We start from the raw sequence: 13501 nt of genomic DNA on the forward strand, positions 1-13501 counted from the left end.
ACTGCACTCTATCCTGGGTGACAGAGTGAGACCCTGTGTCAAAAGGAAAGAAAGAAAGAGAGGAAGGAAGGAAGGTAGGTAGGTAGGTAGGTAGAGTATCTAGTCAGCAGGGGTTTGAGAAGAGGAGTTTCAGTTGACTGAGAAGTTCCCATAGTAGAAGCAGGATCTAATAAGGAGCACAGAGAGATCTTAAAAAAAAAATTACTGGGATTTTGACTGGAATTGTATTCTATCTATAGATTAATTAGGGATATTAAGTCTTCCAATTCATGGAAATGGTATGTCTCTCCATTTATGTTGCCTCTTTAGTTTCTCTCAACAATTTAGGTCTTACACATATTTTGTTAGATTTACCTCTAATTATTTCATATTTTTGGGTGCTATTTTTAAAAAAATTCGATTTCTTACACTGACATTGTGAATACATAGAAATATAAGATTTTTCTGTATTGACTTTGCAACCTGAGACAGCATCACCCTCACTAGTTCTAAGAGCTTTTTTGGGGGATTCCCTAGGGTTTTCCTACATACATGGTCATGTAGTTGGCAACAAAGAGTTTTGCTTTTTACTTTTTAATCTTTCTGCCTGTTTTTTCTTTTTCTTGCCTCATTACACAGGTTGGGATTTCCAGTTCCTTGATGAAGAGAAGTTACGAGACTGGGCATCCTTGCTTTGTTCCTAAACAGGAGGTGAAAACATTCAGTCTTCTGCCATTAGGTATGATGTTAGCTCTGGATTTTTTACACATTTATTCATTTATTTATTAGGTTAAAGATGTCTTCTACTCTTAGTTTGCTAAGAGTTTTTTTAAACATCAATGGGAATGTTTTCAGAATCTTTTTAATTTTTTTTCTACATCTATGGAGATAATTTTTTATAGTGTTATGGGGAACTATGTTGATTTTCAAATGGTAGCCAACCTTCAATACCTGAGATAAACTCCATTTTCTATATATTGCTAGAGTCAACTTACTATTATTTTTATTCATGAGAGATATTGACCTGTACTTTTCTTTGTCTAGTTTTGTTATTGGGGTAATGAAGACCTCATAAAATAAGTTGAAAATGGTTCCTTCTTCCTCTAAGAGTTTGAATAGAATTTGTATTCTTTTCATTCACCAATGAGACCAGTTGGACCTAGAGTTTTCTTTGTGGGGAGGCTTTTAATTAGAAACTTAATTCCTATAGCATCTATAGGAATACTTGGATTTTCTATTTTTACTTTAGTTAAATTTGATGATTTGCATTTGCTATGGTTTGAATGTGTTCCCTCCAGAATTAAGGTGTTGCTAATGTGATAGTATTTTTTTAAATTATACTTTAAGTTTTAGGGTCCATGTGCACAACGTGCAGATTTGTTACATATGTATACATGTGCCATGTTGGTGTGCTGAACCCAGTAACTCGTCATTTAACATTAGGTATATCTCCTAATGCTATCCCTCCCCCCTCCCCCCACCCCACAACAGTCCCCGGTGTGTGATGTTCCCCTTCCTGTGTCCATGTGTTCTCATTGTTCAATTCCCACCTATGAGTGAGAACATGCAGTGTTTGGTTTTTGGTCCTTGCCATAGTTGGCTGAGAATGATGGTTTCCAGCTTCATCCATGTCCCTACAAAGGACATGAACTCACCATTTTTTATGGCTGCATAGTATTCCATGGTGTATATGTGCCACATTTTCTTAATCCAGTCTATCATTGTTGGACATTTGGGTTGGTTCCAAGTCTTTGCTATTGTGAATAGTGCCACAATAAACATATGTGTGCATGTGTCTTTATAGCAGCATGATTTCTAATCCTTTGGGTATATACCCAGTAATGGGATGGCTGGGTCAAGTGGTATTTCTAGTTCTAGATCCCTGGGGAGTCGCCACACTGACTTCCACAATGGTTGAACTAGTTTACAGTGCCACCAACAGTGTAAACAAAAAGTGTTCCTATTTCTCTGCATCCTCTCCAGCACCTGTTGTTTCCTGACTTGTTAATGATCGCCATTCTAACTGGTGTGAGATGGTATCTCATTGTGGTTTTGATTTGCATTTCTCTGATGGCCAGTGATGATGAGCATTTTTTCATGTGTTTTTTGGCTGCATAAATGTCTTCTTTTGAGAAGTGTCTGTTAATATCCTTCACCCACTTTTTTTTTTTTGAGACGGAGTCTCGCTCTGTCGCCCAGGCCGGACTGCGGACTGCAGTGGCGCGATCTCGGCTCACTGCAAGCTCCGCTTCCCGGGTTCACGCCATTCTCCTGCCTCAGCCTCCCGAGTAGCTGGGACTACAGGTGCCCGCCACCGTGCCCGGCTAATTTTTTTGTATTTTTAGTAAAGACGGGGTTTCACCTTGTTAGCCAGGATGGTCTCGATCTCCTGACCTCATGATCCACCCGCCTCGGCCTCCCAAAGTGCTGGGATTACAGGCGTGAGCCACCGCGCCCGGCCTCACCCACTTTTTGATGGGGTCGTTTGTTTTCTTCTTGTAAATTTGTTTGAGTTCATTGTAGATTCTGGATATTAGCCCTTTGTCAGATGAGTAGGTTGTGAAAATTTTCTCCCATTCTGTGGGTTGCCTGTTCACTCTGATGGTGGTTTCTTTTGCTGTGCAGAAGCTCTTGAGTTTAATTAGATCCCATTTGTCAATTTTGGCTTTTGTTGCCATTGCTTTTGGTGTTTTAGACATGAAGTCCTTGCCCATGCCTATGTCCTGAATGGTATTGCCTAGGTTTTTTCTAGGATTTTTATGGTTTTAAGTCTAACATGTAAGTCTTTAATCCATCTTGAATTAATTTTTGTATAAGGTGTAAGGAAGGGATCCAGTTTCAGCTTTCTACATATGGCTAGCCAGTTTTCCCAGCACCATTTATTAAATAGGGAATCCCCATTGCTTGTTTTTGTCATGTTTGTCAAAGATCAGATGGTTGTAGATAAGCGGCATTATTTCTGAGGGCTCTGTTCTGTTCCATTGGTCTATATCTCTGTTTTGGTACCAGTACCATGCTGTTTTGGTGACTGTAGCCTTGTAGTATAGTTTGAAGTCAGGTAGTGTGATGCCTCCAGCTTTGTTCTTTTGGCTTAGGATTGACTTGGCAATCCAGGCTCTTTTTTGGTTCCATATGAACTTTAAAGTAGTTTTTTCCAATTCTGTGAAGAAAGTCATTGGTAACTTGATGGGGATGGCATTGAATCTATAAATTACCTTGGGCAGTATGGCCATTTTCACGATATTGATTCTTCCCACCCATGAGCATTGAATGTTCTTCCATTTGTTTGTATCCTCTTTTATTTCATTGAGCAGAGGTTTGTAGTTCTCCTTGAAGAGGTCATTCACATCCCTTGTAAGTTGGATTCCTAGGTATTTTATTCTCTTTGAAGCAATTGTGAATGGGAGTTCACTCATGATTTGGCTCTCTGTTTGTCTGTTATTGGTGTATAAGAATGCTTGTGATTTTTGCACACTGATTTTGGATCCTGAGACTTTGCTGAAGTTGCCTGTCAGCTTGAGATTTTGGGCTGAGACGATGGGGTTGTCTAGATATACAATCATGTCATCTGCAAACAGGGACAATTTGACTTCCTCTTTTCCTAATTGAATGCCCTTTATTTCCTTCTCCTGCCTGATTGCCCTGGCCAGAACTTCCAACACTATGTTGAATAGGAGTGGTGAGAGAGGGCATCCCTGTCTTGTGCCAGTTTTCAAAGGGAATGCTTCCAGTTTTTGTCCATTCAGTATGATATTGGCTGTGGGTTTGTCATAGATAGCTCTTATTATTTTGAGATACGTCCCAACAATACCTAATTTATTGAGAGTTTTTAGCATGAAGCGTTGTTGAATTTTGTCAAAGCCCTTTTCTGCACCTATTGAGATAATCATGTGGTTTTTGTCTTTGGTTTTGTTTATATGCTGGATTACATTTATTGATTTTCGTATGTTGAACCAGCCTTGCATCCCAGGGATGAAGCCCACTTGATCATGGTGGATAAGCTTTTTGATGTGCTGCTGGATTCGGTTTGCCAGTATTTCATTGAGGATTTTTGCATCAATGTTCATCAAGGATATGGGTCTAAAATTCTCTTTTTTTGTTGTGTCTCTGCCAGGCTTTGGTATCAGGATGATGCTGGCCTCATAAAATGAGTTAGGGAGGATTCCCTCTTTTTCTACTGATTGGAATAGTTTCAGAAGGAATGGTACCAGCTCCTCCTTGTACTTCTGGTAGAATTCGGCTGTGAATTCATCTGGTCCTGGACTCTTTTTGGTTGGTAAGCTATTAATTATTGCTTCAATTTCAGAGCTTGTTATTGGCCTATTCAGAGATTCAACTTCTTCCTGGTTTAGTCTTGGGAGAGTGTATGTGTCAAGGAGTTTATCCATTTCTTCTAGATTTTCTAGTTTATTTGCGTAGAGCTGTTTATAGTATTGTCTGATGGTAGTTTGTACTTCTGTGAGATCGGTGGTGATATCCCCTTTGTCATTTTGTATTGCGTCTATTTGATTCTTCTCTCTTTTCTTCTTTATTAGTCTTGCTAGTGGTCTATCAATTTTGTTGATCTTTTCAAAAAACCAGCTCCTGGATTCATTAATTTTTTGAAGGGTTTTTTGTGTCTCCATTTCCTTCAGTTCTGCTCTGATATTAGTTATTTCTTGCCTTCTGCTAGCTTTTGAATGTGTTTGCTCTTGCTTCTCTAGTTCTTTTAATTGTGATGTTAGGGTGTCAATTTTAGATCTTTCCTGCTTTCTCTTGTGGGCATTTAGTGCTATAAATTTCCCTCTACACACTGCTTTGAATGTGTCCCAGACATTCTGGTATGTTGTGTCTTTGTTCTCGTTGGTTTCAAAGAACATCTTTATTTCTGCCTTCATTTCGTTATGTCTCCAGTAGTCATTCAGGAGCAGGTTGTTCAGTTTCCATGTAGTTGAGCGCTTTTGAGTGCGTTTCTTAATCCTGAGTTCTAGCTTGATTGCACTGTGGTCTGATAGACAGTTTGTTATAATTTCTGTTCTTTTACACTTCCTGAGGAGAGCTTTACTTCCAACTATGTGGTCAATTTTGGAATAGGTGTGGTGTGGTGCTGAAAAAAATGTATATTCTGTTGATTTGGGGTAGAGAGTTCTGTAGATGTCTATTAGGTCTGCTTGGTGCAGAGCTGAGTTCAGTTCCTGGATTTCGTAGTTAACTTTCTGTCTTGTTGATCTGTCTAATGTTGACAGTGGGGTGTTAAAGTCTCCCATTATTAATGTGTGGGAGTCTAAGTCTCTTTGTAGGTCACTAAGGACTTGCTTTATGAATCTGGGTGCTCCTGTATTGGGTGCATATATATTTAGGACAGTTAGTTCTTCTTGTTGAATTGATCCCTTTCCCATTATGTAATGGTCTTCTTTGTCTCCTTTGATCTTCGTTGGTTTAAAGTCTGTTTTATCCGAGACTAGGATTGCAACCCCTGCCTTTTTTTGTTTTCCATTTGCTTGGTAGATCTTCCTCCATCCCTTTATTTTGAGCCTATGTGTGTCTCTGCACATGAGATGGGTTTCTTGAATACAGCACACTGATGGGTCTTGACTCTTTATCCAATTTGCCAGTCTGTGCCTTTTAATTGGAGTATTTAACCCATTTACATTTAAGGTTAGTATTGTTATGTGTGAATTTGATCCTGTCATCATGATGTTAGCTGGATATTTTGCTCGTTAGTTGATGCAGTTTCTTCCTAGCCTTGATGGTCTTTACAATTTGGCATGTTTTTGCAGTGGCTGGTACTGGTTGTTCCTTTCCATGTTTAGTGTTTCCTTCAGGAGCTCTTTTAGGGCAGGCCTGGTGGTAACAAAATCTCTCAGCATTTGCTTGTCTGTAAAGTATTTTATTTCTCCTTCACTTATGAAGCTTAGTTTGGCTGGATATGAAATTCTGGGTTGAAAATTCTTTTCTTTAAGAATGTTGAATATTGGCCCCCACTCTCTTCTGGCTTGTAGAGTTTCTGCCGAGAGATCTGCTGTTAGTCTGATGGGCTTCCCCTTGTGGGTAACCTGACCTTTCTCTCTGGCTGCCCTTAACATTTTTTCCATCATTTCAACCTTGGTGAATCTGACAATTATGTGTCTTGGAGTTGCTCTTCTCGAGGAGTATCTTTGTGGCATTCTCTGTATTTCTTGAATTTTAAGGTTGGCCTGCCTTGCTAGACTGGGGAAGTTCTCCTGGATAGTATCCTGCAGAGTGTTTTCCAACTTGGTTCTATTCTCCCTGTCACTTTCAGGTACACCAGTCAGACGTAGATTTGGTCTTTTCACATAGTCCCATATTTCTTGGAGGCTTTGTTCATTTCTTTTTATTCTTTTTTCTCTAAACTTCTTTTCTCGCTTCATTTCATTCATTTCATCTTCCATCACTGATAGCCTTTCTTCCAGTTGATCGCATTGGCTACTGAGGCTTGTGCATTCGTCACGTAGTTCTCGTGCCGTGGTTTTCAGCTCCATCAGGTCCTTTAAGGACTTTTCTGCATTGGTTATTCTAGTTATCCATTTGTCTAATTTTTTTTCAAAGTTTTTAACTTTTTTGCCATTAGTTTGAACTTCCTCCTTTAGCTCAGAGTAGTTTGATCTTGTGAAGCCTTCCTCTCTCAACTCGTCAAAGTCATTCTCCGTCCAGCTTTGTTCCGTTGCTGGTGAGGAGCTGCATTCCTTTGGAGGAGGAGAGGGACTCTGATTTTTAGAATTTGCGTTTCTTCTGCTCTGTTTTTTCCCCATCATTGTGGTTTTATCTACCTTTGGTCTTTGATGATGGTGACGTACAGATGGGTTTTTGATACCCAGACCCTGTTTGCCTGGGTATCAGCTGTGGTGGCTGCAGAACAGTGGATATTGGTGAACCGCAAATGCTGCTGCCTGATCGTTCCTCTGGAATTTTTGTCTCAGAGGAGTACCCAGCCATGTGAGATGTTAGTCCACCCCTACTGGGGGGTGCCTCCCATTTAGGCTACTCGGGGTTCAGGGACCCACTTGAGGAGGCAGTCTGCCCATTCTCATATCTCAAGCTGCGTGCTGGGAGAACCACTACTCTCTTCAAAGCTGTCAGACAGGGACATTTAAGTCTGCAGAGGTTATTGCTGCCTTTTGTTTGTCTATGCCCTGCCCCCAGAGGTGGAGCCTACAGAGGCAGGCAGGCCTCCTTGAGTTGTAGTGGGTTCCACCCAGTTTCAGCTTTCTGGCCGCTTTGTTTACCTACTCAAGCCTGGGCAATGGCGGGTGCCCCTCCCCCAGCCTGGCTGCTGCCTTGTAGTTTGATCTCAGACTGCTGTGCTAGCCATGAGCGAGGCTCCATGGGCGTAGGACCCTCCGAGCCAGGTGCGGGATGTAATCTCCTGGTGTGCCGCTTGACAAGCCTGCTGGAAAAGCACAGTATTAGGGTGGGAGTGACCTGATTTTCTAGGTGCTGTCTGTCACCCCTTTCTTTGACTAGGAAAGGGAATTCCCTGACCCCTGGCGCTTCCCTGGTGAGGCGATGCCTTGTCCTGCTTCAGCTCACGCACGGTGCGCTGCACCCACTGTCCGGCATTCCCCAGTGAGATGAACCCGGTACCTCAGTTGGAAATGCAGAAATCACCCGTCTTCTGTGTCACTCACGCTGGGAGCTGTAGACTGGAGCTGTTCCTATTCGGCCATCTTGGCTCCACCCCCAGCTAATGTGATAGTATTAAGAGGTGAGGCCTTTAAGAGGTGATTAGGCCTTGAGGGCCTCTCTCTTATAAATGGGATAAAGGCTCTTAAAAAGTAGCTTCATGCAGCATTTGGCTCTTTTTGCCCTTCTACCTTCTACTGTGTGAGGCACAGCATTCCTGCCCTCAAGAGGACACAGTGGCTAAGGCTCCATCTTGGAAGTGGAGAGGAACCCTTGCCAGTTAGCTGGTGCCTTGATCTTGGACTTCCCAGCCTTCAGAACCATGATAAATTAATTTCTGTTCTTTTAACAGTTACCTAGTCTCAGATATTTTGTTATAGCAGCACAAATGGACCAAGACATGTGTCTCTCAAGGAGTTTTTCCATTTCATCCAAGTTGTTAAATATAGGTGTCAAGTTTTTCCTCATGCTTCCTTAGTATGCCTTTTACAGGACTCTGTGTGATATCACTTTGCACTCCTGCTATTGGTAATGTGTGTGTATTCTCCCTGTGTCTCTTTTCTTGATCACTGCAGCTAGAGCCTTAGCATTTTTACTGATCTTTTCAATTAACTATATCCTTTTCAATTAACTGTTTTATTTCCTTGATTTTTATATTAATATTTATTGTTTTTGGCTAGGCACAGTGGCTCATGCCTGTGATCCCAGCACTTTAAGAGGCTGAGATGGGAGGTTGGCTTGAAGCTAGGAGTTCAAGACCAGCCTGGGCAATAATGTAAGACACCCATCACTACAAAAAATTATAAAAAATGAGCCTGGTGGGATGGCATGTGCCTATAATACCAGCTACTTCAAAGGCTAAGGCAGGAGGATTGCTTGAGCCCAAGAATTCAAGGCTACGGTGAGCTATGATGACATTACTGCACTCCAGCCTGAGCAACAGAGTGAGACTCTGTCTCAAAAAAAAAATTTTTGTTTTCTTAGTTCTGCTTACTTCAGTTTTAATTTGCTCTTTTTTTCTAAGTTCTTAACATAAATTCTTAAGGTAGAATATTTATTTTAGAGTGTTTTCCTTTTTAATGTAAATATGTAAGCCAAATTTCCCTCTACTCATTGTATTACCTGCAATATAAATTTTAACATATCATGTAGCCATTTTTCAATTAGTTTAAAATGTTTTCTAACTTCCTTTTTTTAATTGGATCTCTGTTGAACCATTTGCTATTTGGTGGTATACTCTTTTGTTTCCAGTTATTTGTAGATTTTTCAAATAGAGAAGCGTAGAGAAAGGAAGACCTTCACAGGGCTCCCTCTGTTTACTTCTTATGCCTCTGGCCCCTCTCAAGGACTCAGTAAGACCAGAACTTTTCTTTTCATCTGGCAGCTCATGTTTCAAAGCCTGATTTATTTTCCCCTAAGACCCAGGTGTGATGTCTTCCTACCGAGGACACTTGGAGGCTGGCCACACCTTGAAGGGCCAAGTCTTGCTTTGCTTGTGACTTGCTTTTTCTATGGACAATCGGAAAAAGTGCCAGCAGAGGGGGCCAGTGGTGCAGATAATGGGACATCACCATCCAGCTTTAGAACGTCCACTTCCGGCTGAGCTCAATTGTAACCATGCAACAGTGCTATTCAACCCCAAGGACCAAAAGAGCCACTTTTTGTATATATCTGAGGTGGATAAGACTTCTGAAATAATTCTGAGACTACTCATCATTCTCACATTTATTGAGGGGTCTGCCTATTCTGGATGCTGGGATTGGTATCGAGACTCTAAAGAGGAAATTTACAGTCCAATTGTGGAGTCAGGATATACATGGGAAAAGACAACCATCTGTTCAAAGGGGCGGAGACAAAATTAAAATAGAGATAGGTAGAGGGAGAGAGATAGAGAGAAGACTGGTCAATGGATGGCTGAAACCCCCTGCCCAGGGACTCTCACTGAATTGCCCGGGGGTGGGACTCTGGCATAGATAAATGTTTAAAGCTCCCCAGACGATACGTTTACACTTAGCAATTTAAAGTTTGGTAACTAATTTCAAATTGGCATTTGGACTGGTCCAGAAAGAGCATCACACATCCAGCTCCTGAGGATGTGGACGTTACTTAGATGGCTTTTGTTGTATATTCTTTGGTTCCAATCATTTGTCTATTCAGGTTTTGAAAAAAATACTGACATAAGTTGCATTATTTCTTGAACCTGAGTTAATATTAAGCTAAGAAATCCTTTTTAAAAAGTATTTCGTGTCAAAGGGATACAAACTCTGTTAGGAATCTGTCACAGGGACCTTGCTTACAGGAGTAATTTATGTCTTGGCATGTTGCCAGGGATAATTAAGGTGCAGAAATACTGGTTGTTTGCATGGAAGGTAGCTATCTGGAGACAGGGGAGCAAACCAGAAAGGCATCTTCTCCTAAAGGTCAAAATAAAAAGCAAGCAAGACCATAACAAGATGAACTCAGACACATCTAATTGGGGAAAATTTGTTACCGGGAAATTTATATTATAAGGAACAGATGGCCTTTTGTGATTGTAATCTGTTTGCTTCTGATTCATGGGAAGAAAGGCAGCAACAGAGATGGGCACCAGGAAGACTGAAGAGGCAAACCGGAACATTTGGTAATGGTCCCAGACAGTTGTCCCTCTTGGAGAGACAGCCAAGCTTTTAGCTGCAAGCTGATAAAGACCAAAGCCAGAGCTTTGAAAGGGGGTGAAGCCAAGAGGGTGAAATCTGAAGTCTGGGGGGTTTTAATATATGAAAACAAATGATAGAAAGATGTAAGGGTTTCTTGCTTTTCAGTTGTAATGGGGGAAATGGCTACATTATTTAGGAACCGTAGCTTTTCAAAATTAGAAGGAAAGCCCCAAAGTAACAGATTAAGAAATTTAATAGGCTAATAATGGCTATTTATTTTCTTTATAAAGAAGTGGGTTCCAGGCTGGGCACAGTGCTCACGCCTGTAATCCCAGCACTTTGGGAGGCCGAGGCGGGTGAATCACCTGAGGTCAGGAGTTCAAGACCAGCCTGGCCAACATGGTGAAACCCCATCTCTACTGAAAATACAAAAAAAAATTAGCCAGGTGTTGTGGTGGGTGCCTGTAATCCCAGCTACTCGGGAGGCTGAGGCAGGAGAATGGCTTGAACCCGGGAGGCGGAGGTTGCAGTGAGTTGAGATCGCACCACTGCACTCCAGCCTGGGCAGCAGAGTGAGACTCTGTCAAAAAAAAAAAAAAAAAAAAAAAAAAAAAAAAAAAAAGAGAGAGAATTGGGTTGCAGAGGAAGATAAAACATGAACTTCAGCTTAAATGTCATGAGCAAAACCAAAGCGCTCTATGCATTTTCAGCATCTAGTCATTGTGTTTCCCAGAGCAGATACCGGGCTTGGCACGTACTAGATGCTAAAAAGTACTTGTAGAATTTAATCGAATTGTGACAGAGCACTCCAACCATAGGTTTTGGGTTTGAGCAGAAAACAGCATCTGAACTTTTAATTTTCCAGCAAACATGGCAAGTGACAGCAATTGCAAATGCCAAGAACACAAGCAACTATCACGGGCGTTTTTCAAACTGTTTCTCAGAATGCACCTCTAAAGAGATCTCCGTGTCTCCGGCAGGGGGCGCGTTAGGATTTCCTTAACACCATGGGTCCGCAGGATAAAAGTGAAAAAACCGTTTGTTTAAGAGGCAGAAGGGCAAGACCAGGACAGATATGTGTTCTCAGACCTCCTCTACTGTGGCTCTGACAGGGAGTAGGTGGAGGAGGCACTGCAGGGCAGAGCGAATGAACAGTTCCGACCACTCCAGCGCCTGGACCTGCTTCTTGTCATAGGAGGAGACCCCCCTGATTGCTGAAGCCCTCTGGCTCTGACAGCAGAGCCAGATGCTCTAAGAGACACGTGCTCTAAGTCATGTGTCCCAGCAGCTCGGGGGCGACATAAGGTCATGCCTCTCCTAATACTTTATGCGATATAATTCTGAGCCGCATTTCATCACGACAAACCTTTCTCCTCTCCCTTTTTCACCAAGACTCGCTTGTCCCTGGGGCTGCCCCTCACAGGTCTGCTCTGCCCCTTGAAGTGGAGGATGTCACCCCTCCATGGCCTGGGTTCCCAGTGTCATGGCCCCTGTGATGGGGCTCACCCACGTCCCACAGTCTGGCCTGTCTGGGATCACAGCGTTCCGGCAGTTAGAGATGCTTCAGTAGCGTTCATCTGGGAAGGAGCCAGGAGCCCTTTCTTCTGGAAGGCTTCTTGGCCCCAATACAATCACTTGTCCATCCCTCCCTAGCAATCTCAGTGGGGAGTGGAGGGTCTGGCTCCGGCAGAAGAAGAGGAGTCCTGACTTGCCTTTCCTCTCACTCACTGAAAGGGGCCATGCTGGCGTCTGTCTCAGGAAGACTCACTGTCTCGTCTGCTAGAAATAGAAGGGGCTGGAGTCTTTTAAACACAAATTCTCTTGCTTAAAAGAAATCAAGTTCTGCATCTCAGGGTGCCCTGCAACATTTTCATGATGGTTCCATCAGCTGTGTCTTTTCTGAGACAGAAAGAGAGAGAGAGCACGTAGGCAGCTTTGCAGAGCAAGGTGGCTGGATGGGAGCCAGGATCCAGGAGGTGACCCCGCTGTCCTTCTGTCCCCTGCAGAAAGTGGGCAGTAGGGCCTCCTGCCTTCCTGCTTTGGGCCCCCTGAAGGGCTGTGCTGTGTGGAGGTGACCTGCCAGGGGCCCGCCCAGAGATGAGAGGGGACTGCAGTCGCCCGCCTGGCTGGAGCTAGCTCTGGGCTCACATGGACAATGGGTGATGGCAGGCCACTCTGGGTGGTGGAATGGGGCGTCAGGGACTGGGGCCTTCTGCAGGGCTGCTGGGTCTTGCATCTGCTCCTGCCCCTGAGCCTCAAACTCAGAAGCTGTGATTTCTAGGCCCTGTTCTTAGACTTGACCAGAACATTCTGAAAAGGGGAGATGGGGGCAGTGCAGGAAAGGAAGGCTGGTTCATGTGCTTGCATTTGGTGACCATATCCCATCTTAAAAATAACCTCCTGCGTTTCACTGTTTCTTGCACCTTCTCTCTTTCTTGGCCTTCTCCCCATTTCTCTCTCTCCCTTCCTCTCTCTCTTGCTTCCTCTCTTCCTCCCCCTCTCTCTCCCCACCTTCTGTTTTCTACCCCTGGTGCTTCTGACATGGGCTTCATTGTGGGTTTGAGATAGGAGTTGGGGAGGGCTTGTTTTGCAGGGTACAGATCACAAAGACCCTGCTGATAAAATGAGATGTGGTCAAGAAGCCGATCAAAATCTAGCAAAACCAAGATGGGAACAAAGGCAACCTCTGGTCGTCCTCACTGCTCATTATACGCTAATTATAATGCATTAGCTGCTAAAAGGACACTCCCACCAGCGCCATGACAGTTCACAAGTGCTGTGGCAATGCCTGGAAGCTACCCTATATGGCCTGAAAGGGGGAGGAACCCTCAGTTACGAGAATTCCCTGCCCCTCTCCTCGAAAACTCATGAATGATCCACTCCTTCTTCAGCATATGATCAATAAAGAAATAGCCAACCAGCAGTCCCGGGCTGCTCTGCCTATGGAGTAGCCACTCTTTTATTCCTTTCCTTTCCTAATACATTTGCTTTCACTTGACTCTGTCGGCTCACTCTTGAATTTCTTCCTGTGCAAAGCCAAGAACCCATGTGGCCTCCCAGGCTGAACCCGGTTTAGGGGTTTGTCCTGTGACAGGTCTGTCAAGGGGAACAGAGCCCAGAGCAGATTGGCAGAAATATGGTGCCTTTTACCCAGCGACTCAGGTGTGTGCAGACGCCATATGTGGCCACACAGGGGCAGTAGGACACTGGGCAGAGGCTGTGCCCGTGCCACCTCGCATGAGGAAGCATCGTCCCTCATCCAG

At 43.4% G+C, this 13501-nt stretch overlaps 1 long non-coding RNA gene across 1 annotated transcript in view, besides 3 other annotated features; it reads left to right on the forward strand.

Moving 5' to 3' along the window:
• FAM167A-AS1 (FAM167A antisense RNA 1) overlaps positions 1-13501 on the forward strand; it is a 70256-nt gene that overhangs the window by 32046 nt on the left and 24709 nt on the right. Inside the window, exon 3 of the long non-coding RNA NR_026814.1 lies at positions 619-718. This is a non-coding gene — a long non-coding RNA (FAM167A antisense RNA 1). The remainder of the gene's footprint in view (positions 1-618; positions 719-13501) is intronic.
• Positions 6772-7292: an enhancer, noted in NCBI's record as "H3K4me1 hESC enhancer chr8:11264728-11265248 (GRCh37/hg19 assembly coordinates)". NCBI's record gives its function as "activates a minimal SCP1, AML or CMV promoter by ChIP-STARR-seq in naive and primed H9 embryonic stem cells {active_cell/tissue: H9 hESC(naive and primed)}" and the evidence as "EXISTENCE:reporter gene assay evidence [ECO:0000049][PMID:30033119]".
• Positions 7293-7812: an enhancer, noted in NCBI's record as "H3K4me1 hESC enhancer chr8:11265249-11265768 (GRCh37/hg19 assembly coordinates)". NCBI's record gives its function as "activates a minimal SCP1, AML or CMV promoter by ChIP-STARR-seq in naive H9 embryonic stem cells {active_cell/tissue: H9 hESC(naive)}" and the evidence as "EXISTENCE:reporter gene assay evidence [ECO:0000049][PMID:30033119]".
• Positions 11053-11347: an enhancer, noted in NCBI's record as "tiled region #7548; K562 Activating non-DNase unmatched - State 12:CtcfO". NCBI's record gives its function as "activates a minimal TATA promoter and a strong SV40 promoter by Sharpr-MPRA in K562 cells {active_cell/tissue: K562}" and the evidence as "EXISTENCE:reporter gene assay evidence [ECO:0000049][PMID:27701403]".

The sequence above is a fragment of the Homo sapiens genome, chromosome 8 (assembly GCF_000001405.40).
Source record: "Homo sapiens chromosome 8, GRCh38.p14 Primary Assembly".
Taxonomy (NCBI): Eukaryota; Metazoa; Chordata; class Mammalia; order Primates; family Hominidae; genus Homo; species Homo sapiens.